Below are 25,906 nucleotides of genomic sequence, written 5' to 3'. Positions count from 1 at the left end.
CACTTTCTTATACTGTAACCAGAGAGGAGGATTGGGAGTTTCTGTTAGATGAGGAGAGGGAAGGGTGGGGTCAAAATGGAAGTGTGGGAGGGGAAGTTTCTGGACAGCGTCTAGGGGACCTCAGAGTCAGATGCAGTGAGGGGCTCTGTAGGCCACATAGAGAGAGCACAGGCAGAACCAGCCAGGATAGGTCTGGGCACAAGCCGACGAGGAGCGTCACGCTGAAGCTTAGGAAGGGAAGCCATTGGGCTGTGTGTTGCCCTCTCAAGTGGAAAAGTTAATGCTTAGCAGAGTGAGGTCCATGACTCACGGCCTTGCTATGCTGAGGTCTTGGAAGAATGAGGTGGTTAGTCCCACAGGCAGCTGTGTGCTGGGAGCCAAAGCAATGTGACATTAGCTAAACAAAACCCACTACCTCCTACATTCCACAGCAGCAGAGGAGAAGCAAAGGCTGAGGAGTGATTCAAAGTGTGGCCACTAATGTGAGACTGCCTGGGTCTCAAATCCTAGCAAGACCATTTATTAACTGGGTGACTTATTTGTTTTTTGTTTTGAGACTGAGTCTCGCTCTATCCTTTAGGCTGGAGTGCAGTGACACGATCTCGGCTTACTGCAACCTCTGCCTCCTGGGTTCAAGTGATTCTCCTGCCTCAGCCTCCCGAGTAGCTGGGATAATAGGCACCCATCACCATGCCTGGCTAATTTTTGTATTTTTAGTAGAAGTGGGGTTTCACCATGTTGGCCAGGCTGGTCTCCTGACCTCAAGTGATCTGCCCGCCTTGGCCTCCCAAAGTGCTGGGATTACAGGTGTCAGCCACCGCACCCAGCCAACTGGGTGACTTTGAATGTTACTCAGCTTCTCAGTTTCCTTAGCTGTGAAAGGGGGATGAAAATAGTAATATATACCTCCTAGGGTTTGTTTTTTGTTTTTGGACAGGGTCTTGCTTTGTTTCCCAGGCTGGAGTGCAGTGGTGTGATCTTGGCTCACTGCAGCCTTGACCTCCTGGGCTCAAGGGATCCTCCCACCTCAGCCTCCTGAGTAGCTGGAACCTATAGGTGTGTGCCACCACACAGAGCTAATTGTTGTATTTTTGTAGAGATGGGGTTTCATTATGTTGCCTACGCTGGTCTTGAACTCCTAGGCTCAAACAATCCTCCCACCTTGGCCTCCATAAGTGCTGGGATTACAGGCGTGCACCACCTCACCTGGCTTCTCCTAGGTTTTTAAGATTAGATGAATGCCGGGCGCAGTGGCTCATACCTGTAATCCCAGCACTTTGGGAGGCTGAGGCAGGTGGATCACTTGAGCTCAGGGGTTTGAGACCAGCCTGGGCAACATGGCAAAACCCCATCTCTAGTGAAAAAAAAAAAAACATAGAAAAATTAGCTGGGTGTGGTGGTGTGCACCTGTGGTCCCAACTACATGGGGCGCCGAGGTGGGAGGATCTCTTGAGCTGGGAGGCAGAGGTTGCAGTGAGCCGAAATAGTGCCACTATACTCCAGCCTGGGCGACCTCGCGAGACCCTGTCTCAAAAAAAAAAAAAAATTAGATGAGATAATGCTGACAAAGCATTTTGTACTCGAAGATTAGCTTTTATTTGGGTAGGTATTTGGGGACTTGGGGACCCAAAAGAAGCCTCTGCTCTTTGGACTTTGCTACAAGGAAACTTTAAGCACTTGCTGGATTTGCTCGTGTGCTCATCCAGGTAGGTGTACTGTCCAGGCTCAGACACAGAGAAGAAAGATCTTGTGTCTTCAGAAAAGGTGGCCTCGGAGTAAAGGAAGCCCCAAATTATCCGCTGGTCTTAGAAAGTTTTCATCTACTAATGACCTTGTACCGAAGCCTATGGGAGGGAGTCCAGCTTAATATTGAAGCTGTGTTGGCATCTTAGCACACTCAGATGCAGCATGAGCTTCAGAGCTGAAATTCCAGGTTTAAATCAGGGCATCACTGCCAGGTGTGAGCTCAGATAAACGTCTTAACTCTTTGAGCCTCAATATCCTCATCTATAAAATAGCAATATCAGCATCTCAGAGGTTAGCTTTGTTGGCTTCTTTCTGCAGCAAGCCAGAGATGCAGAGGCTCTGGGTAGCCTTGGTGAGAGAAGGGCAGAACATCACATCCCTTAACTCCATGTAGACCTGGAGATGGGAAAACCTTGTAGACCAAAAAATGCCATTTCATTTGGAAAACTGTGATTCAGGTAAACACCCATCCTAAGCGATGAATGGGGAGATGTGGGTGCAAGTAGACCCTTGGGTAATGTTCTTAGAATAAATGAATGGCCCACGCTCTTTAATTTTTTTATAAATGATTGCTGTCTCTTCCTTTATCTCTTTTGCAGATGAGAAAAAGAAAACAAAGAAAGTTGATAATGAATTGAACCCTGTCTGGAATGAGGTGACTTCATTGTTTTTTCAACTTTGTTTTAATAGATAAGCTATTTCTGATTGTCCTATCTTTGGGTGAGAGGTTACCTCTTCCCTTCGGAAGGAGAATCTCTACATTTCACCCCCACCCACTCCGTTTCCCTTTGTGTTCACCAAGAGAGCAGAGCAGTTCAAGGAGAGTAGCTCACCAGCGACCATCTTCTGTACAGCAGTGGCGCGGCAAGGGAAGCCTGGACTGGCAGGAGAGTTGAGTTCTTACCAGGCACCGCCACGAGCTTGCTGTGTGAGCTTGGTCCACTTATGTTGCATATCTGGGGCACATGTGCAGAGCAAGGGTGGGATTAGATCATCTCCAGAGTCTCAGAAGGAAGGCCTCATAATTAAAAACATGTCTGCATGTGACAAATCAAGAGTGTATCACATGATTCTCTGTGTGTCTAGCTGGGTAATGACATGTATTGGTTTTATGTTGATAAAAGTGATGTCCAGTATGCTTCATGTGGAAACTTTTGAAAACTTCAATTAATCTTTAAAAAATTAACTTGGGTCCCACTCTCTAGAGGCAACTACTATTAACATCTGTGATGTATCACTAAGTGTTTATTGGAGGAATATATTTAATGAAATACGACATCTGATAACACAAACTAGCAGCATATAGCAAATGATTTCCTCTCCTACACTTTCTTGCTATTATATCCTAAGCATATGCCCATATTAATTCAAAATTATTTTAATAATTCAAAAGTATTTTAATTCAAAAGCATAAAATTATTTTAATAATTCAAAAGCATAAAATTCAAAAGTATTTTAATGACTGTGCAATATTCTACTGAAGACATATAACTTATTTACCTCCCCCCACTGTCGACCTTATATCTATTTTAGAAGTGGTTCAGTGTTTAATATTTTCACAAATAAGTGAAAAAATTTAATTCTTCCCACTGAATAGGATTTTCCTACTCTCTCTCTGTCTCTCTCTTTTAAACCACCCAATTATTCATGAAACTTTAACTTTTTAACAGTTGATGGCCAGCTCCATTGTGTTTTTCAAAAGCTGGGTCAAACCTCCCTGGACAAGAGCAATAATGAATGTCTTTGTTATTTTCACCAAGTCACTAGGCCATGAAGGCTCCCCTCCACCCACCCACCTTTCTCTCCCAACTAGTTTCAATATCTCTATAAGATAAAGACTAGAACCTTCTGGGTTTTTTTTTATTTGTTTGTTTGTTTTTGAGATAGGGTCTCCCTCAGGTTGGAGTGCGGTGGCGTGATTAAGATTCAATACTGCCTTGAATTCCTGGGCTCAGGTGGTCCTCCCACCTCAGCCTCCTGAGTAGCTGGGACCACAAGCGTGCACCACACCCAACTAATTGTTTTATTTTTTGTAGAGATGGGCTTTTGCCGTGTTGCCCAGGCTGGTCTTCAACTCCTGAGCTCAAGTGATCCACCTGCTTCAGACTCCCAAAGTGCTGGGATTACAGGTGTGAGCCATTGCGCCTCGCTAGACCTTATTCTTGAATGAAGTGAAACAAAAAACTTTTTAATGCCTTGGGGGTTTTTTTTGTTCTTTTTTTGTTTTTTTGTTTTTTGTTTTTGTTTTTGTTTTTTTGAGATGGAGTTTCGCTCTTCTTGCCCAGGCTGGAGTGCAGGTTGCTCACCGTAACCTCCGCCTCCTGGGTTCAAGCAATTCTCCTGCCTCAGCCTCCTGAGTAGCTGGGATTACAGGCATGTGCCACCACACCCAGCTAATTTTGTATTTTTAGTAGAGATGGGGTTTCTCCATGTTGATCAGGCTGGTCTCGAACTGTCGACCTCAGGTGATCCACCCAGCACCCAAAGTCCTGGGATTACACGCATAAGTCACCACGGCTGGCCTTTTTTTTTTTTTTTTTTTTTTTTTTAATTAAAAAAAGACAGGGTCTCGCTCTGTCACCCAGGCTGGAATGCAGTGGTGTAATCATATCTTACTACAGCCTCGATCTCCCAGGGCCAAGCGATAGCCCTGCTTTAGCCTCCTGAATAGCTGGGACTACAGGTATAAGCCACCATGCCCAGCTAATTTTAAAAAACATTTGTAGAGATTACATCCTGCTATGTTGCCCAGGCTGGTCTTGAGTTCCTGGTCTCAAGCCATTTTCCCATCTTGGCCTCCCAAAGTGCTGAGTTTACAGGCGTCAGCCACTCTGCCCAGCCTTTTTAATGCCTTTCTGAAACGCCCAGCAGGTCTCAGGCAGGTTGAGAGGGAATTCCACTTATCTGTAATTTCCCCAGAATCCAGAACACAGCCAGCTGGACTACAAGCTCCATGAGAGCAAGAGGCCCCTTGGGTTGGTCATTGTGGATTCCTAGCACCTGACAGAACTCCAAGAATAAAGCAAATAAAAAATGCATTTATGTGAGAGTGCTTCCTACTTCAGATTTTGAATCATCCCAACTCATCTCTTCAAATTTGAGATTGAGATCAAGCCACGTGACCAATGGCAGAGAGAGATGTGCTGTCATGCGAGCTGGCATGTCCTCTGCAGGGAATCAGCCATCTTATTCCATTTTGTTTCCAACATGTTTTTTTTTTCTTTCCTTTCATATTGCAGATGTACTTATCAAGTAAACTGTTTTATAATTGAAACCAAACACAAATGAAATGTCAACCCCAAACCCACTGGGATTGCTGGTGCTGGGTGTGTTCTTTTTTTTCTTTTTTCTTTTAAGATGGAGTTTTGCTCTTGTTGCCCAGGCTAGAGTGCAATGGTGCGATCTCGGCTCACTGCAACTTCCGCCTCCTGGGTTCAAGTGATTCTCCTTCCTCAGCCTCCCAGGTAGCTGGGATTACAGGCATATGCCACTACGCCTGGCTAATTTTGTATTTTTAGTAGAGATGGGATTTCACCATGTTGGTCAGGCTGGTCTCGAACTCCTGACCTCAGGTGATCCATCTGCCTTGGCCTCCCAAAGTGCTGGGATTACAGGCATGAGCCACTGCGCCCGGCTCTTTTTTTTCTTTTTTGAGACAGGGTCTTCCTCTGCCACCCAGGCCAGAGTGTAATGGCACAGTCATAACTAACTGCAGCCATAACTAACTGGGCTCAAGCAATCCTCCCCACTCAGCCTCCCAAGCAGCTGGGACTACAGGCACACACCACTGCGCTCTGCTGATTTTTAAATTTTTCACAGAGACAGAATCTAAGTTGTCCAGGCTGGTCTTGAACTCCTTGCCTCAGCCTCCCAAAGTGCTGGAGTTACAGGTATGAGCCACCATTCCCAGGCTGGGTGTGTTCTAAGAGAAGCTCTGAGGCCACGTGTGGTGGCACATGCCTGTAATCCCAGCACTTTGGGAGGCCAAGACGGGTAGATCACATGAGGTCAGGAGTTTGAGACCAGCCTGGCCAACATGGTGAAACCCTGTTTCTATTAAAACTACAAAAATTGTCCAGGTGCGGTGGCTCACGCCTATAATCCCAGCACTTTGGGAGGTCAAGGCGGGTGGATCATGAGGTCAGGAGTTCGAGACCAGCCTGGCCAACATGGTGAAACCCTGTCTCTACTAAAAATACACAAATTAGCAGGGCATGGTGGCAGGCGCCTGTAATCCCAGCTATTCGGGAGGCTGAGACAGGAGAATTGCTTGAACCCGGGAAGTGGAGGTTGCTGTGAGCTGAAATTGTGCCACTGCACTCTAGCCTGGGCAACAGGGCAAGACTCTGTCTCAAAAAAAAAATTAGCTGGGTATGGTGGTACACACCTGTAATCCCCAGCTACTGAGGAGACTGAGAACTTGTTTTTTTTTAGAAGTGCTAAAAATAATTTTTTAAGAAGTTCTGAAACAAGTTTTCCTTCCATTCCAAGCCCACTACAAGGAGGATCAAGTCATCATTTAATTATTACCTAATCAGTCAAAGGCATCAGTGACGCTTTATCAATCTTTTTTTTTTACTTTTGTCATTAGGAAGCAACTTACTGCATTAAAATGAGAGTCTCAGAAAGGTCGGTATATTATAGCATTGACCGACCATGGTGGAACTTAAAATGAGAGGCATTTTAGAAAATGTTTTCTTAGATTATTCATCTTCTTTGTTTGATAGTAGTATGATTAAGAAGAGCAGATAATTTAAAACTAGCCATTGAAGAAAATGTTTTCACATATACCCTGCATTTTATTCTTTTTTAATTTTTTTATTTTTGTTATTATTATACTTTAAGTTCTAGGGTACATGTGCACAAAGTGCAGGTTTGTTACATATGTATACATGTGCCATGTTGGTGTGCTGCACCCATTAACTCATCATTTACATTAGGTGTATCTCCTAATGCTATCCCTCCCCCCTCCCCCCACCCCACAACGGGCCCCAGTGTGTGATGTTCCCCATCCTGTGTCCAAGTGTTCTCATTGTTCAATTCCCACTTATGAGTGAGAACAACACCCTGCATTTTATTCTTGCAGCAGTTGTGGTAGTCGTTGAGTCCAGCTCTTGAGTATGAAGCAGGGGTGTGGTCACCTGGTTGAAGCCACAGAACCTAGAAAGCAGGAAGCCAGGAGTTGTCTACAGGTCCTCTAAGTCGACATCTGGTTTGCTTTCCTGCCCCCTCAGCTGCCTTCAGGTTTAGAATTTAATCATTTCTGCATAACTTCAAAAGATTGTCATTGGTGAAAATAATGACCCAACATGTAGTACTGGTGCATCTTAGTGTAATCTCTGCTCCTTCTAACAGCCTTTTTTTTTCTCTTTTTTCAAAACCTTTCTGTGAACAGATTTTGGAGTTTGACTTGAGGGGTATACCACTGGACTTTTCATCTTCCCTTGGGATTATTGTGAAAGATTTTGAGACAATTGGACAAAATAAGTAAGTTGTTTTCACCTGTTTTTCTCATTTTAGGTATTACTATCTCACTGTTGTTTATTTTGTTGAAGAGACACATCTTTAATAACGTATTATAATACTTCCAATATAAATGTGCTTTAATTCCATGCCCCGCTCCCTTCTAAGCCAATAGCAGATGTGGCTAATCCATCACAGCACTTTTTCCCAATGACTGCTTTTATTCCAAAAAAGCTGCAAACACCGAGCCACCTAGACTAGTTTATCAAACTTGGCACTTAGAGTGAAGCCTGTTCACATGCCTACAACTTCTTGGTCAACTGCACTTCCTACCTCTGGCAGTTTATCTGAACTGTAGTGATATTGGATACAACCCAAATCACTTCTTCTGATTATTTGTGGCCTATACATGTCTCATTCAAGTTTTACTTTCAGCCCCATTTCCATGTTAATGTCTCCTTCGCCTTTTAATCCCAACAGACCTAAACAGACCTTAATCCTTGCCTTACTGCCTCTTTCCTTTCACATGGGGAAGGGTCACGGTGGTGCCCGTGGTGACACTGAGGGTTGTCCTCTGAGTAAAATTGGGAGACTTCCCAAACAGGTTCCCGTGGGACAGAATGATCTTAGTATTAATAAATTCACCCTAGTCCTGGATCTGGACTTTGGCCTTGTAGACCCAGTCGTATGTTACCAATTCAAACTAACCAAGTTCACAAGAGACTAAAGGTTTTTTTCTTTTTTTTGACTCTGTCACCCAGGCTGGAGTGCAGTGGCACAATCTTGGCTCACTGCAACCTTCACCTCCCAGGTTCAAGCAATTCTCCTGCCTCAGCCTCCCAAGTAGCTGGAATTACAGGCGTGCACCACCACGCCCAGCTAACTTTTATATTTTTAGTAAAGACAGGGTTTCACCATGTTGGCTAGGCTGGTCTTGAACTCCTTACCTCAGGTGATCTACCCGCTTCAGCCTCCCAAAGGGCTGGAACTACAGGTGTGAGCTACCGTGCCCAGCTGATACTAATACTTAAAACCAGAATACCTGCTTATTTTCCTTCTGGTGGAAGTCAATTGCCTAGTGACAGGGCATTTCTACCCTCCAACCCATGAATTTTCCTTCAAGTCATACCACATGGGAAGCCAAATTACTTTGTATCCTCGATTTCAAGATGTTATTGTTTATAAAGTATACTATCAAATTAATAAATGGTTAGGGGCCAAAAAAAGCGTGATATTTAATGCCCCCATCAATTGTAAGAAGCATTTCAGTTTTTAGTAATGTTAGTACATTTAAAAATGTATGTCTTAGGCACATCTGATATAATCTGAAGGCTGCAGTGAGAGCAAAAATTTAGGATAAATTAGTTGAGGTAGGTGGTCACATGCTCTGATTGCTTGAGACAGTCCTGGTTTGCTGTCCTAGCACAGTGATTAATAATGCCCCTTTTGCAGTCAACGTGGCTGGGTTTGGACAGTAAATTATTATTATTTTTTGTTTTTGAGATGGAGTCTCACTCTGTCACCCAGGCTGGAGTGCAGTGGCGCAATCTCAGCTTACCGCAACCTCCGCCTCCTTAGTTCAAGTGATTCTTGTGCCTCAGCCTCCTGAACAGCTGGGATTGCAGGCATGCACCTCTCCACCTGGCTAATTTTTGTGGTTTTTGTTTGTTTGTTTGTTTTTTGAGATGGAGTCTTGCTCTGTCGCCCAGGCTGGAGTGCAGTGGCACGATCTCAGCTCACTGCAACCTCAGACTCCTAGGTTCGAGTGATTCTCCTGCCTCAGCCTCCTGAGTAGCTGGGACTACAGGCGTGTGCCACCATGCCTGGCTAATTTTTGTACTTTTAGTAGAGATGGGGTTTTACCATGTTGGTCAGGCTGTTCTCGAACTCCTGACCTCATGATCTGCCTGCCTCGGCTTCCCAAAGTGCTGGGATTACAGGTGTGAGCTACTGCACCCGGCCTATTTTTGTGTTTTTTAGTAGAGATGAGGTTTCACCATGTTGGCCAGGCTGGTCTCGAACTCTTGGCCTCAACTGATCTGTCCACCTCAGCCTCCCAAAGTGCTGGGATTACAGGGGTACAGTAAATTAGATGGTCACTCCAGTTATTGGGGTCTTCTGCTTACCGGCATCAAAATAAGAGAGTCTGCACAGACATGGACTCCCTGGACAGTGCTTTGATAGGCACTCCCATCTTCGCCTTTGATGACATCCTTTTTACCATTCTCTGTTGCTGACCGATGCCCCCTGCATATTTTTCTGTAACTATATAAATACATTCTGGGCCAGGTGTGGTGGCTCATGCCTGTAATCCTAGCACTTTGGGAGGCTGAGGTGGAAGGATCACTTGAGCCCAGGAGTTAGAAACCAGCCTGGGTAACATAGTGAGACCCCATCTCTAAATAAATGAATACATACCTGCATACATTCTAGCAGGTTCTGGTCCCACTCTCTTGCACTGGAAACTATTCTAGCTTTTTAAGTTTCTGTCGCATATCTCAGCTGCGAACTATTATATGATTATTTATTCCCCACCCCAACTCCCAAAAGCCAGTTTTATTTCCCATATTTCAAAGTTTTGGGGAAGGGGAGGAGAGGGGAGGGCCTCACACTAGCCTCCTGCATGTTACTAAGACTAGGCCCTCCTCTTCTTTGCTTTCTTCTTTCTGCAAATGGTACCACTGTTTATATTCTAGACCAGGCCTCTCCAACAGAAATACAGTGCAGGGTGCACATGCAATTTAAAATTTTCTAGTTGCCAGATTAACACAAATATGAAGAAATGGGTGAAATCAATTTTAATAATATATTTAACTCAGCAGATTCAAAATGTTATTTCAACATGTAATCAATGTGTTTGAATCACTGTGATATTCTGCACACATTCTTTCTCTTACTCAGGCTTTGGAATCTGGTGTTTGCTTCACACTTACAGCACCTCTCAATTCAGAGACTTACCACATTTCAAGTGCTCTGTAGCCACGTGTAGCTAGTGGCCACCATATTGGACAGGATGGTTTCAGATCCTGGGCTTAAAACTTCAGACCTCTCTGCACCCTATCCCTCTTGCTTTTTTTTTGAGACAGAGTCTCACTCTGTCACCCAGGCTGGAGTGCAGTGGCGTGATCTTGGCTCACTGCAACCTCTGCCTCCCAGGTTCAAGTGATTCTCCTGCCTCAGCCTCCTGAGTAGCTGGGATTACAGGTGCACACCACCATGCCCAGCTAATTTTTGTATTTTTAGCAGAGACAGGGTTTCACTATGTTGGCCAGGCTGGTCTCAAACTCCTGACCTCAAGTGATCTGCCCACCTTGGTCTCCCAAAGTGCTGGGATTACAGGCGTGAGCCACTGCACCCAGCTCCCTCTTGCCTCTTATCCAGTCTGTCCTCAGATCTTATGTTTTCTTCCTTTCCAAAGTCTGTGCTTGTGCCTGTGTTTCTTCCCCAAGCCCACAGCCACCAGCCTGGTTGAGGCCTTCCTCATTTTATGCCTTATCTATTTTAGCATGGCAATGGGCTGGCCTCAAAACTCTCATCTATGGTTTAAAGTCCTTGCTTTCCTGAAGGTTACGATACTTAAGGAAAGTTAGAAAATAAACAAATACACTAAAAAATATATACATAATATGTCGGGTACCATGAATGCTGTGAGCTAAAGAAGAAACTGTTATATCCCATGAAGAAAAGCAAATCAGAGGAAAAGGGAAAGTTGTCAAGGGTGGGGGGAAAGGAGATCCCATTTTATGTGAGGTGGTGATAAGGTGACAATTGAGCAGAGACCTAAATATAATCACAAAAGTAATTGCAATTTTGCACCAACCTAATATAATGAAGAACTGAGCCATGCAGTTCATTGGGGGGTTAGGGAGTAGGGGGGAAGAATATTCTGGGCAGAGAATAGCAAGTGCAAAGGCCCTGAGGCAGGAGTGCACTGGGGATGCTGGAGAAACGTGAGAAAGGCAGCCAACCTGGGGCACAGTGAGGGTTGAAAGTGCAGGAAGGAGGTGAGGTCAGAGAAACCACAATATATGTGGCTTTGGGGGCCAAGGCACGGGCTTTGGATTTCATCCTAAGTGGAATGAGAATCCGTTAAAAGCTTTTGCTTATGATCTGACATATTTTAAAAGGATCACTCAGGCTTTCTGTGTAGAGACTGGAGGTAGGAACCAGTTAGGAGGCAGGAAAACAATACTGGGAGACCATTATATATTTATTTTAGACCCATTGAAAACACAGTGGGGCCCTCAGATGACAGCAGTGATGGGGAGAGGTCAGCCCCCCACCGTCAGGCTCACCCTGGCACTCATTTCGGGCATTTTTGTGCATTTCTAGAGATAGAGTTTGTTGTAACCAAGTGAGTTATAGAGAAACGTCACACTTTGAGACTAATTCAGGAGTCCTTTATTAGCTGGCGAACGAGAGACAGCTAGCGCTCAAAATTCTCTCAGCCCCGAGGAAGGGGCTAGATTTGTTTTATACCGTGGTCTAAATAGGGAAGGGGGGAGTTTAGCTGAAGCAATTTTTACAGAAGCATAACTGGCAAAAAGTTAAAAAATTAATTGGTTACAAAAGCAGTTACAAAAAATAACCAGTTCCAGGTGTAGGGGCTTAAACTATCACAAAGAGATAAATGCAGGGGCTTTAGGTGCCATCCACCGAGCACGTCCCCAGGAGCTGCTGGTGCAGCTTGCCTCAATGTCTTATCGGTAAGTGCATTCCTGGACGTGCTTTGAGTCAGTTTACACTAGTCATGCCCTTAAGGAAGGGAGGTAAAGGGGCTGTAAGTGAAGGAACTAAAATGGAGTCTGTCTGGCTCTTTCAGCTAAGAGAGACAATCAGGTTAAAACAAGGTAGAGTATCACAAGTTCACGTGCAGTCTATCTGAACCTGCACATTTTCATATTTTTCTGAACCTATGACATGCATAATTCTGAACAAAGAAAATATGATAGGTCCTGTTCTAAGAGGGTCCTTCTAAGGTTCAGGGGCACCATGCATCGTGCTGAGCTATGTTGCACTTGGTGTTATGATGCCTATTGAGTATAAAGACCAAACGAGGCTGGGTGTGGTGGCTCATGCCTGTGATGTCAGCACTTTGGGAGGCCGAGGCAGGCAGATCACTTGAGGCCAGGAGTTCGAGAACAGCCTGGTCATCGTGGTGAAACCCTGTCTCTACTAAAATACAAAAATTAGCTGGGCGTGGTTGTGCACACCTGTAATCCCAGCTCAGGAGGCCAAGGCACAAGAATCACTCGAACCTGGGAGGCAGAGGTTGCAGTGAACTGAGATCACACCACTGCGCTCCAGCCCTGGTGACGGAGTGAGAAAAAAAAAAAAAGACCAAATGAGCACGTGGTTACTCTGATATTATGATGACGGGAATTGTTAGGCATAACAGAAAAAGGTAAATTCTAGGCCAATTATGAAGCTGGTCTTGGTTACTTTTTCAATCTTCCCCCCTCCCATCTTCCATCCCCCTGACATTTGCTGGGCACCCAGTGTCTTTAAGTTTCCTGGCTCCCACTGTGGTACCCGCTGAGGCCTGCCCTCTGAGCCACACCCTGCATCTTCTGCCAATTCTTTTCCTGTACAAAACTTACCTGTCCTGTGGCTCAGTCCTTCAAGGTCCTGCTTCAAGGCACTTTCTGAGAAATTAATCGGGTGATGCTATAATAGCTGCTAATAGTTAATTTCCCGGTAACACTGACTTTTGGACTGAAGGCCATCAGTGACTTACTTGAAGGAGTGAACAAGATGAGAACTTCAGACCCTATGGCCAGGTCATTGGAGGAGGTGTTTTCACTAAAAATTAGAACATTATCTCTCATCCTGCAGATTCCACTGCATAGTTTACTGTCTTGCAGTGGAAGGCCGACCCTGCGTCAGCTCTGTAATGAACAAGGCATGATTTCCTGCCCCTCCACCGCCTCTGCTCTTTTGTAAGCAGTGTGCCTCCCCATCCTCAGCTGGGAATCATGATCATTAGCTTAGTTTCCACCAACTAACCAATACACACACCTTGGTCAGATTACCTGTACATTTCAGAAACAAACTTTTTTTTTTTAACCATCTGGGAATAAACTATATGTGTTTTCAAAATATTTGTGTATTTTGGGCCCAGATTTTCTTTTTGGCTTTTCTACTAAAGTTCTGGCCTTTGAGGATCTGCTTACTGCTCAGTGTGGGACCGCTTCCCTCACCTGAAGTGCAGGGTTGGGGCGGAAGGGTTTTCTACAGCTTAAGGAATGTCCTGCCTGTTGACTTTCCTGTTGCCATGGCGATGGCCTGTGCAAACATGAGCCCTCACTTTGCATCTGCTGCTCCCCGGCCTATTAGCAAACAGTTCCCAGCTGCCTCGGTCAGCTGGGCTCCATGCCCACACCCGCATGGGCTAGACCCAGGCAGTCCCAGGCTCACAGCGCCTGTGGGCAGTGACACCTCCCCACCCCTCAGGCACTGGGAGCGGGTTGCCTTGTTCAGTGTGGACTCTCCTCTTCCTCACTTTACAGTCATCCAACCAGCCATTCAGAGGGAATGAGGGTGAGAAAGGAGACAGAGGAGCCTCTTGGTCACATAAGGAACATGAAATGTTATTTTTTAGAGGAAATGTCAGAGTGGAAAGATTTTCCCAGAGGCTGAAGAATGAAAGTTCCCTTTGCAGGCAGCCAATGGTTATAGCTTTGTGAGGACTTAGCATGTGCCAAGGGCTGTGCCCAGCCCTTTGCATTCATTACCCCAATTGATCCTCACACACACCTCATATGATGGGTCCTATTTTTCCTCAGAGAGGTTTAGTAACCTGCTCAAGGTCACACAGCAGGTGTGTGTTAGAGTCAGCTCATCTATATCCAGGCCTGTACACTTGACTTTTATGTTATACTGAAAGCCTCTGACTACCTATAGTAAACAAAATGTAGGTAGAATGATCAATTATCTCTGCTGAAATAGAAGTGATTTTTCTTCCTAATTTTGACAAAAAAAAATTTAATTCTCAATATCAGTGTATTGCTACCTTTTATAAGCTCCACCCTAGGTAAAAATTTTAAGCATTTTTATACTGTTGAGTAGGAAGTCACTTATGCCTATATTCTGCAATGGACCAGATATATGAAGAGACTATATCTCATCTCATTTGCTCTTCACAGTGACCTTGAGAAGTAGAGAGTAGACTTGAGCCTCAGAGGGGTGGAGGCTGGGACCCTGATCTGTTGGCATCCTGGCCCTACCCTTGAGTTCCTAAAAGTGCCATCTTCAAGAACCTGTACATGTAGAAATAAAAGATATTGACAAGTTTTCAGATTTGTGTGTCTGTGTGTATGCACACGTGGACACACATGCCCAGGAGAAAAAAGAGGTACTGCGTAGAGTTTTTGCATTTGCTGTTCCCTTTGCGTGGAATGCTCCTTCCCTCAAACTGCAATAGATGTAAAATCTTGTCATTGGGCCTCACCATGTCTGATCATCCAGCCTAGAGCAGCCCCTCCCTGTCACTCTTTATCTTATTACTCTGTTTTATTCTTCCAAAGCCCTTCTTATTAGGGAGCTCATGTGAGTGTAAGAATGGGAAAAGGAGTCTGTGTGAGCAAATACATGCTAGAATTGTGTTTTAGACAAGTACTCAGGGTATGTGCTGGTCCACACACCTGCTATATGTAGCTCAGCATTCACCACCATCTGAAATGTTCTTTTCTATTTACTTATTCATTTGTTCTCTCTCTACTGGATAGTAAACTCCATGTCACTCTTGTTCAATGCCGTAAGACCAGCACTTAGCACAGTGCCTGGCATATAGTAGGCTCTAAATAAACGTTTGTTGGATGAATGAGTGAACAAGTGAGTTTATGATGCTCCTACGTGGATGACATTTACCATTTAAGAAGCACCTTGCAGCTGTCCTGTCAGCTCACTGGTAATGGGCCACCAGTGTGGAATCTGTCCACCTCGGCTCTCTGAAACAGCACCCTAGTTCCAACTTGGGTTTAAGCTGCAAAGGGGTCAGGATACAAAGGTCAGAACACAAGAGAAACAAACCTCTCTCACAAAGCTCATGCCATTTTGTAGAGAGATGTGGAACTCAAGGCTGAGCTCACAGGAAGGCAGGAGAGCATGGTATTTGAAAGTTGGGATTCTGGAGCCAGGCAGAAGCCGATTAGAGACCCAGCTCTACTGATTACTAGTGGGTGACCTGGGCAAGTTACTTACCCTCTCCAGGCCTCAGAATTCTCATCCTTAAATTGACTGTAGTTTGGAATTGACTGTAGTTCCGTTATGCTAAGGGATTAGATTTACCCTCCCACCTGACACAACTAAAACAAAATACATGCAACAGTAGTTTTCAGATGTTGGACTTTGCTGGCACAGAACAGTGATCTCTAAGAGATGGGAGATAAATGAGGTGAGCCCTGAGAGTTCCCAGCTTAATGCCTAGAGAGACTCATTTCCATGCTGCAATGCAAGAAAAGGGATCCTTGTTGTCTCCCAGAGTTGGAGAGGTGCAGGTGGGAGTCTAGAGATGCCAAGGTTAGTCTAAAGATGCCAAGGTTACTAGTGGACCAAGAGGAGAGAAACACAGACACACACACACACACACACACACACACAGAGAGAGAGAGAGAGAGAGAGAAGAAAGAGGAGAGAAGAGAGAGGAGAGACAGAGAGAGCACTTCAGAGACTTGCAGAGAATTCCCCTTGAATCTTCAGCTGAGAACTGAGTGAGGAAACTGCTTGAGGCAGGACTAGAAAGAGTTTATGTTCCCGCCAACCGGGGGAAACACCTTGTAATTCATAGGGAAGGATTTTGCCTCCCTAATGTAGGTAGAAAACAATCAATAGAAACTGACCCAGAAATGGCACACAATCAGTAGACATGGACAGTAAAACAAGTATTATAATTCTTTAAAAAAAATTTTTTGTGAGACAGAGTCTCACTCTGTTGCCCATGCTGGAGTGCAGTGGCACGATCTCAGCTTACTGCAACCTCCGCCTCCGGGTTCAAGTGATTCTCCTACCTCAGCCTCTGGAGTAGCTGGAATTACAGGCACACGCCACCATGCCCAGCTAATTTATGTATTTTTTTTACCAGAGACGGGGTTTCACCATTTTGGCCAGGCTGGTCTCGAACTCCTGGCCTCATGTGACCCGCCCCCCTCGGCCTCCCAAAGTACTGGGATTACAGGCATAAGCCACCGTGCCCCGCTGAGTGTTGGAATTCTATTCTATAGATTCAAGAAGGTGGAGAATTGCTTGAGCATGCTAGTAGGGACATGGAAGATAATTTAAAAAAATTAACTTGGACTGCTAGAGATGACAATTACAATGTCTGAAATAAAGTGACCATAATTATCTGTCTCAGAATTTGCATGTCTAGTATTCTTTCTGCCCTCCAAATACATGTACTTGTGCATGCAAAACCACCATTATATATACTTCCACACCAATGCAGAACAAAGTTAGAAACAGTTTCTGAATATAAATCTCAAGCAAGGCATCTGTTTTGCCGTATTGTAGGAAGGAGATAACAAAAAGGCCTGACAATATACCTAGAAGGAAATGTATTCCAGTTCTTGTGTAAGAGGTGTGGGCATGTGGCCAGCTGTACAATCATGAGATTAGACAGAACTTTGGTTTTGCTTCTTGTTGGTTGGGTGACTCTTGGCAAATTTCTTAATCTTTATAATGGGGACTGTGATACTTCCTCAATAAATAGTAGATATAGGGCAAATTTGATATAATTAAGAAAAAATTACTTCAATTTCCTGATGAACAACAAAATAGCTAATTCTTTTCTTCTAGGTTTACTGTGTGTCAGGGACGATGTTAAAACTGTTTCAGTTACAATCGCATTTAATCCTTATATCAACTATGAGTCCGTCAGACAGTCTGATCTTCAACTCACAGATGAGAAAAATGTGGCTGAAAGAGGTTCATTAAATTGTAAAAGGTCACTCAGCTCTTTAAGTGGAAGCATGTGGATTTTACATAGGTATGTTAAAATCCTCTTACACAGAGCCCAGACTTTCCAAGGTTTATTCTGTGTGTGTGTGTGTGTGTGTGTGTGTGTGTGTGTGTGTGTGTGTTCAGGTTGAGGGCCAGGGTGCTAAAACTTGAAAGTGAGAGGTTGTTCGGGGGAATATAGAATTAAAGGAAAAGGATATAGAATTAAATAAAAAAAGGAAAAGACCTAGCTTACGTTGTGAAATGTACTAACTCTCGGCCGGGCACGGTGACTCACGCCTGTAATTCTAGCACTTTGGGAGGCCGAGGCAGGTGGATCACGAGGTCAGGAGTTCGAGACCAGCCTGGCCAACATGGGCAAACCCCCGTCTCTACTAAAAATACAAATATTAGCTGCGTGTGGTGGCAAGCGCCTGTAATCCCAGCTACTCGGGAGGCTGAGGTAGGAGAATCGCTTGAATGCAGAAGGCAGAGGTTGCAGTGAGCCGAGACCGTGCCATTGCACTCCGGCCTGGGTGACAGAGTGAGACTCTGTCTCAAAAAAAAAAAAAAAAAAAAGATACAAAAATTAGCCAGGCATGGTGGCGGGCACCTGTAATCCCAGCTACTCCAGAGACTGAGGCAGGAGAATCGCTTGAATTCAAGAGGTGGAGCTTGCAATGAGCTGAGATTGCACCACTGCACTCCAGCCTGGGCAACGGCGTGAGACTCCGTCTCCAAAAAAAAAAAGAAATGTACTAACTCCCTAGCTTGTTTTAAATTAGAAAAAACAAAAGACTGCGTTTGGAATAAAATTAATTTGGTAGGGCAAAGTGTGGTATTGCTTATAAGACGTTTTTCATTCCCTAGTATATGAAATACCTTGTCTTTAAGCTTTTATTACTTTTATTTCTCCTAGTTATAAAGCTCATTTCTGACCTTGCCCCATGTAAATGTGACAGTGGGAGAAGGTGGTCTTTCTTCTCCTGGGGTTGGTTGGTGAGGAAGGATAGGATAGCCCATGGATTGAAACAGGTTCTTCTCACTGGAGTAGCTTCTCAGGCTGTACAAAAATCTAAACTAGAAGCAGATGTTACTGTGGGGCAGAACTCTCAGTTCTGATTTCTTTTTAGTTCTGTATTAGAGCAATGACACTGAAATGATCTGAGCTGGTTTGGGCTGGCTGTCTCTATACGGGGAGAGGCTGAACTGCACTTTTTGGAAGGCAGATTAAGTAGCTGCTGCAATCCTGTTGGTATCTGTTAAGATCTTGTGATTAAATAAGATTGGGCCACAGCCCTGGAGAAAGATACCCAGAGAGGCTGAAAGAGAAAGGCATCTCATAAAGGCAAGAGCTGTAATTATCTTCTGATGGCTCTTTGGCGGGTGATCTCTTAGGACAGGAAGATTTACAACCTGTAAATAATTTGCAAGGTCATTGGACTATCTTCAATGATGTATCAGCTAATTTATTCATGCCACAAATATTTACTAATGCCTACTATGTGTCAGACACAGCTCTAGACACTGGGGGTACTCCATACCTTTTATGGAGCTAACATCTGAGTAGAGGGAACAGATAAATACACATATGACATAACAGATGGTGATAAGTGATACGAAGAAAATAAAGGAAGGTAAAGGAGAGAAAACAGCAGGGTGAGGTCTGAGTGGGTGCTGGTTTAGATAGGGTTGTTGTATAAGGGTTTGTTTTGGGGGTTTTTTTTTTCGAGACGGAGTCTTGCTCTGTCGACAGGCTGGAGTGCAGTGGCACAATCCCGGCTCACTGCAACCTCTGCCTCCCGGGTTCAAGTGATTCTTCTGCCCCAGCCTCCCGAGTAGCTAGGACTACAGGCGCCCGCCACCACGCCCGACTAATTTTTTTATTTTTAGTAGAAATGGGGTTTCACCATATTGGCCAGGATGGTCTTGATCTCTTGACCTCGTGATCCACCTGCCTCGGCCTCACAAAGTGCTGGGATTACAGGCATGAGCCACTGCACCCAGCCTGGGGAATCTTTTATAATGGGTTATGAAGTTTACAGACTTCATTCAGATTCCACTAAATTGGATTTTATGAGAATTCAGCTGCAGCTGACATTTACCTCTGGTCTAACTCTGAAAAGAAAAATTGTTTCCCAAAAGGATTTGTGGTATATGTAGTATTAAGGGTGGGGAAGGGCTATTTAATGTAGGTAAGATAAAGAACTGGTTTTAAGAACTTTACATAGTGATTACATAGAAATGGATGTGGGTAGTTACAAAGGGTTCTTATCTATTCATTCATGCCCACCTGCCCAGCCCCCTGCTGATTCAGACCAGCTTTCACTGCCAAGTACTAGCCAGGAGCCCTGTCTTCATATGCTTTTTATACATCTCTTTTTCTAGCATAGTGTCTGAAATAATAATACAAGGTGACTGTTAAGCACTTGCCATATCATCCTTTTAATCCCTGCAACAATACCATTAAGTAGGAGCTGTCATTATCCCCATTTTATAGATGAGGAAACTGAAGCTCGGAGAAGTTAACCTGTACGCAGCCTGAGTCTGAATTAGTCAGGCCTGCCTGCCTCCACGTTCCTAGTCATCAGGCAAAGCTGTCCCTCCTTATCTTACAAGGTTCAAGTTCATGAAAGAGTGAATAAATGGATGGATGAAAAAACTACTACTTTGATTCTAACGGTTGAGGGAATTAACTGGAGACAGAGCATCGGAACTCCACTGAACCATCAGAGCAGGCAGGCAGGCAGGCAGGCACAGAATTGGTCAGGTGAAAATAACAAAATAGCAGGTGACCATTTCTTCAAGAAATAATATTCAGCATCTCCTCCATGCCAGAGGAGTTAGCCTGCTCCTCGCAGCCACAGACTCTGGCCTCAATGCCTCACTGACCCGGAGGGCTTTGGTGAGGAGACCTGGGCTTCCACTCAGCCCTTTGCAGGTGTTACCTGCAAAGGTAACAGTGATACCATAGTGGCCAGAGTTGCAGAGGTGGGAGGGGCTGGGAAAAAGAGCACAGTAGATGCTGGCCACGAAAATCGTGCAAATCCTGCCACAGCCTTCAGGCTATGTCAGTGATTCCAAAACCAGGGCGTGGAGTGAGCTAAAAGTAGAGGCGAGACTTGTGCCAGCCAGGTTTGGGAATCACGGTTGAGGATCAGTGTTTCTACCTTTTAAAAAGCCACACCCCCTTTCGATGAGCAGGAAAAGAGCCGCAAGGTTCTCTGGCAGTCCTGGCCTGGAGTCAGGAGCGGAAGTTCCTGGGGGGAGCGCAGGTCACTAGGCCTTCCTAGGAGGTTTTCATGGAGTTTGCCTGCTACAGTTTGTTCTATTAAATAATTGGACTTCGATGCGTGGTTCTCAAACGTGAGCCTGGATTCCCATGCTGAATGTTTTCAAAACCACTCAAGCCCCCCTCTCCCCAGATCCCGCGTTGCCTTCTGCCTTCCCTATCCCTAGCCCTCTACCTCCTCCACTTTACTCCCACAGCCATTGGGAGTCACTGTCTAGACCATTGTTTCTCGGACTTCCTGGGTATTAAGAATTACCGAAAGGAAAAAGTCGGACTCAGGGATCTGGGAATCTGCAGACGCCCTGGTGAGGGACGTCTGGGGAAGCACATTCTGAGAAATGTTTTGGGAGACGATGCGGAGGCCGAGTGAGGGTGGGCGGGCAAGTGCAAGTGGAGGGGTGAACCGAGGCGCAGCCCTTTGCGGGGATTTTACCTTAGCAATAGTTTCCTGTGATACGAGCTGCTGCCATGGGCGTGTTGAGAAAGAATTATTCAGTGACACCTGGTACAGTATGGGCAGGAAGGCTTCATTCAGGACTGAGTTAGCTCAAGTGACCCCTGCAACGGAGACTCGTGGGAAGGAAGAGAGATGGGGTGCCACTCAGATACAGCATGGGCAAGTAGGAATTGATAGCCAAGGAGGAGTGTGGGGGGTCAGTGGATGGAAAATTCCTAAGAGGAAATGTCACAGTCAGGGGGATTCTGGCTAACCCAACCTAACAGGATTCTTGCTGAGGACATCACGTGGGGGATGGCAGAGAATGAGAAACCCGATCAGATATGGAGGGTGATCAGATCTCACGGATGGGGGTTGTTTGCTAAACTGACCGAGTAGGATTCTCTGCTAACACTGGATTTCATAAGGAAGCACAGGCTTAGGAGGAGGCTCAGGAGCTCCACTCAAGTTTGGCCAAGCAAAGACTCTTTGTCAGCTGACACGGCGTCTCCTACCAGTCTAGTTCACAGGGAGCATCCTTGGCTCTCCTGCCTTTTGGCGGGGGATCAGGGCAGGAGCTTGACAGATACTGGCCCAGGAGAGGGAGAAGTGCTGGGGAGGGAGATGGGGTCCAGCCTTGGAACCCCAGGGCCATAGGCCTGCCAAAATGACAAGGCACGGCCAACTGAGAGCCCCTGCTTCGAGGGTGGGAAGCTCACCATCTTTTTAGGTTTCCTACAGGGGACCTAGGAGCAGCCTGGAATCGTGTTTGTCCCCAGTCAGGTTGGGATTGCTGTTCCTGCTTAGAGGTCGGGAAGTTGAGACCGTGCTGCGATCTCTAGAGGCAGAAACAGTGCAACATGTGATTTATTTCTCAGCCTCCAACACATTTTTTCCTTCCTTCATGAAGGAATTTCCAAGTTACTCCTCCTCCAGAAATCATGTGGGCTGTGTCTCTGCTGCATAGAGGAACAACTTCGTATACGTGAGCTCCCCTGAGTAAGAGTCAGCCGGCAAAGCCCTTACTCACTCCAGAGGCATGCGGCCCTTCACATTTGCGCCGTGCTAAAGGGGAGAACATTTTCCATTTCTCTTTTGTAAACAAACTATACTCTGTCTATTTTAAGAAGAAGAAGAAAGAAGAAAAAAAAAACAGTTTAAGCGGCTCTTAACCAATACTTGCAAGACTAAGTTGACTGGTTTACAATTAAACTCTTTCATTCCCCCAATCATAACATCTCATTTTCAAGTAGTTGCTCCCATTGTGTAATATTTGATGTCACATAGAGACTCGACTCCAAACTCTATGACATTCGTGGGCTGAAAGACAAAGGAGCATGACTGGCTTTTTCTTCACTTTGAAGACATCTGCAGTTTATTAATTCCACAAGGAAAGCTGGAGGGCCAGAGGACGTCGAGATTCTTTCACTAAAAAATTTCCTTTTGAGACAGTAGTCCTGTTTTAGTGTTGGTTGGAGTTCATGGGGAGACTTACTTTTCCATGAAAATATAGAGCAAGGCTTCCCCCTCACTGTCACACTATAATATTCTAGCATTTTTATAGCATTAGTAATAGAAAAGAAAAAAGACTCTTGGTTTAGTGTCACCTCCTTTAAAGGAAATTGGCTTATGGTCAGACCAAACTGTTCTTATCCCCTGTGTAAGAGGCCAAGTCATCATTTCCCAGTTTTTCACAGTATTTTGTATCCAGGCAACGTCACAGAAAATAGGCCCAGCCAGGAGTGCTCTGGGAGTCACTGCAGAGCTCAGACTTATCCATGGGGCGTATTTTCTTCAATTCACAATGAAAACTCCTAGAAGTTCTGTTTGAATTTTTCCTGAAGTCAGCTTGTTGTAAAAATGTTTTTGGGATTAAAGTCTTTGCAGGCCGTCATCTAAACACACTATCTTTACTTCAGAAAAAATAATAAATAAATAAATCCAGTTTTCTTTTATGTGTCCCCCCTACAAAAGCATCAGAATTTTAGGAGAAAGCAAATCTTTCTTTCCAAATAGGATATGGAACTAAAGATTTCTAAAAGAAGAAATTGAGGTTAGCCTTTATAATTGGTTTCTGTTATTTTACTCCCTTCCTGGTCAGTGATCTGTTACTACCCTCTCTGGGGGAAGGGAAACTAGCGGATACTGATTGGGTCAGAATGGAGGTTGTAAAACCACTCAAGGCCATAAAAGGTCAGCAGGAAGGCTTTGTGTTTTAGGTAAGCCTGCTCTTTCCAGTTAACCATAAGCCCCACTATTGTATTACATAGCACGAGTTGCATTCCACATTTCTGTTATTGGCCTAACCTTCTCTCCTGACACTCTTGTGTGAATTCTAGTTTGATTCACGACATTATAAGACAATCTCTTTGAAGGCAGAAACCCTGCCTAGCATTCTAGATGGTCTAACACGAACATGTTCTAGGAGATTTTTTTCCCTCTAAATTAGAGAGTAGGACTTTAAAAAAAAAAAGAGAGAAAATAATTTATTATTATTATTATTATTTTTGAGACAAGGTCTTGCTCTGTTGCCCAGGCTGAAATGCAATGGAACATTCACGACTCACTCAGCCTCCCAAGTAGCTGGGGCTACTGGTGTGAGCCACTACAACCAGCTAATTTTTCATTTTTTGTGTGTGCCAAGGCTGGTCTGGAGCTCCTTGGACTCAAGTGATCCTCCTACCTCAGCTTCCCAAAGTGGTGAGATGACAGGTGTGAGCCACTGCACCTGGCCAGAAAAGAAATATTTAACATTAGATAGTTTCCTGTAGACATATATAGAAAGCATCACATATACAAGCCTAGCAACAGATTGTTAGAGCTGGAAAGCATTTGAGAAATTTTTTGCTTCAATCCACTTGTTTGCAAATAACGAAGAGTTGGGTGACTTAGCCAAGTACTTCAAGAAAGTGGGGACACAGAGTTATGAATAGAACAGGAGTTGTTTTCAACCTGGGGCAGTTTTGCCCTCCAGGGAACAACTGGCAATGTGCCTCGAAGTTTTTGATGATCACAAATGGTATCTAGCTGAACAGTATAGCCTCCCATAAAAATAATTAACGGGTTCAAAATGTCAGTAGTGCTGAGGTCGAGACACGCTGGTCCAACCCCAGGCTGGCCCTCTTTCTACTTCAGCATTGTCCCAGCATGTTGCACTGTTTGTTCTAAGATTTGTTTATTGATGACAGAGATTCAGGTCATTTTGACTTTAGCAGAAGCAAATCAGTACATATTCAAGTGTGCAGTGTTGCTGTCTTAGTCCTAGGGTTAGGCTATGAATTATGAAATTGCAAGGAATGAAGTCCAGTTTGTTTCCACATCTTTCATCGCATTTAGACATTTAATACCAGTTGGATGACTTTTAAACCTCTAGTTTTTACGTTTTGATTTTCTTGAAAACTCAATTTGCTGATTTCATGACTTAAAAACCATGGAAATAAATTCTCCTTAATACTCGTGCTGTGTGGCTGAGAGAGATGTGGAAGAGATTTTCGGGGCTTTCACCTTGTTTGGAGGCTCATCTGTTTTGTCTGGTGGAGATGGAGTAATGGGTGTCTTCAGTATGTCACGGGAATAAAAATCTAAGTAAGGAGAAAAAAAATACTCCTGTAAAAAAGCCTAAAAAACATACTGATCTAAAAACATACTCTGTAAAATTCCCATCCAATCTTTTTTTCTGTTAATGTAAAAGATAGTTTTATTTTTAAAATTTCCTTAAAAGATAATTTATTGTTTTGAGAAAAAAATAATAACAATAAATTATGGTTTTGTAACATGTAGAAGTTAAATGTATGACAGCAGCAGGAAAAGCAATAACAACAACAAAACAGGAGAAAATTCCCACCAATTCTCAGCATTGACTGAGAATTAATTTCTGTATTGACCAAAAAGGGCTGAAAAGTTCCCTATTGTCCCTCTGGAGGCAAAAATTTTCTTTTCCATTGCCAACTACAGATTCTTTTTTGTTTTTTTTTTTTTTTTTGAGACAGGGTCTTGCTCTGTTGCCCAGGCTGGAGTGCAGTGGCCTGATCTTGGCTCACTGCAACCTCTGCCTCACGGTTCAAGTGATTCTCCTGCCTCAGCCTCCCAAGTAGCTGGGATTACAGGTGCGCACCACCACACCTGGCTAATTTGTTGTATTTGTAGTAGAGACGGGGTTTCACCATGTTGGCCAGGCTGGTCTTGAACTCCTGGCCTCAAGTGATCCACCCACCTTGGCCTCCCAAAGTGCTAGGATTACAGACATGAGCCACCGCACCTGGCCCCAACTACAAATTCTGCTTGTGATATTAGAAGGGATGAGAGTCCATCGCAGTTGTTGATCGTCTTGTGTGGTGTTCTTTACAAGAAAGTGCACTTTTCCAAGAAACCATGTACAGGGGGCTCCTGTCATTGGGTAAATTGGGTGAAACAGGGTGCTATAGCAATTTCCTGGTCTTGTGCAATATCCTATTCATAGAAAGTGAAGGCACTTATTAATATTGCCAAGTCTCTGGACCTATGTGGTTGGGTTACAGACCCCAGCGTTAAAATCTAGTCCTATTTCTGAAGACTGAAGAGGATTGGGGAGAATAATACAGTTGCTGCTAACATCTATCACTTCCAAAAGATGTGCCTATGCTGCCATGTGGCGTACCCGGAGCACCTCTGAGAAACAACTTTTACTTTCTAATTTTTAAATATACTGTATTATATTTTAAAATAAAATGCATTTCCACAAGATGAATTTTCCTGATTATCATGTTTGCCCAAAAGCCCAGAGTTACATAGAAATGTTCAATTACAGTTTCCTCACCCGGATATTTTGGCATAAGGAATCTCTTCTATCACTTTAAGGACTCAATGTTTAGCTTTCTATTTTTATGCTAATGATTTTCTATGTTATCTGCTAGTACAAGTCAGTGCCGATGTAGACAGGATATAAGTAAGTAACAGTTAAAAATTCTAAATATTGGGCCAGGCGCGGCGGCTCACGCCTGTAATCCCAGCACTTTGAGAGGCTGAGGCAGGTGGATCACCTGAGGTTGGGAGTTCTA

The 25,906-nt window shown here is 44.3% G+C and overlaps 1 protein-coding gene across 9 annotated transcripts in view, besides 3 other annotated features; it reads left to right on the top strand.

The window, feature by feature from the left end:
- MYOF (myoferlin) overlaps window positions 1-25,906 on the top strand; it is a 175,906-nt gene that overhangs the window by 23,052 nt on the left and 126,948 nt on the right. For 7 of the 9 annotated variants that reach the window (NM_133337.3, XM_005269694.6, NM_013451.4 and 4 more), the window contains exons 2-3: window positions 2,346-2,401; window positions 7,142-7,233. In NM_133337.3, coding sequence (NP_579899.1) covers window positions 2,346-2,401; window positions 7,142-7,233 — 148 coding nt within the window. Of the gene's footprint in view, window positions 1-2,345; window positions 2,402-3,837; window positions 3,876-7,141; window positions 7,234-25,906 lie in introns of those variants that run through there. The other 2 variants (XM_017016068.3, XM_047425049.1) reach the window with 2 other exon arrangements.
- Window positions 21,180-22,379: an enhancer, noted in NCBI's record as "BRD4-independent group 4 enhancer chr10:95196661-95197860 (GRCh37/hg19 assembly coordinates)". NCBI's record gives its function as "activates an origin of replication core promoter dependent on BRD2, P300/CBP, MED14 and CDK7 cofactors, and independent of BRD4, by STARR-seq in HCT116 cells {active_cell/tissue: HCT116}" and the evidence as "EXISTENCE:reporter gene assay evidence [ECO:0000049][PMID:35650434]".
- Window positions 21,737-22,031: an enhancer, noted in NCBI's record as "tiled region #10561; HepG2 Activating DNase matched - State 5:Enh". NCBI's record gives its function as "activates a minimal TATA promoter and a strong SV40 promoter by Sharpr-MPRA in HepG2 cells {active_cell/tissue: HepG2}" and the evidence as "EXISTENCE:reporter gene assay evidence [ECO:0000049][PMID:27701403]".
- Window positions 22,942-23,503: an enhancer, noted in NCBI's record as "OCT4-NANOG-H3K27ac hESC enhancer chr10:95195537-95196098 (GRCh37/hg19 assembly coordinates)". NCBI's record gives its function as "activates a minimal SCP1, AML or CMV promoter by ChIP-STARR-seq in naive H9 embryonic stem cells {active_cell/tissue: H9 hESC(naive)}" and the evidence as "EXISTENCE:reporter gene assay evidence [ECO:0000049][PMID:30033119]".

Source organism: Homo sapiens, chromosome 10 (genome assembly GCF_000001405.40).
Source record: "Homo sapiens chromosome 10, GRCh38.p14 Primary Assembly".
In the NCBI taxonomy this organism is placed as follows: Eukaryota; Metazoa; Chordata; class Mammalia; order Primates; family Hominidae; genus Homo; species Homo sapiens.
The sequence above is the reverse complement of the archived record's forward strand: the minus strand, read 5'-3'. Positions and strand labels throughout refer to the sequence as shown.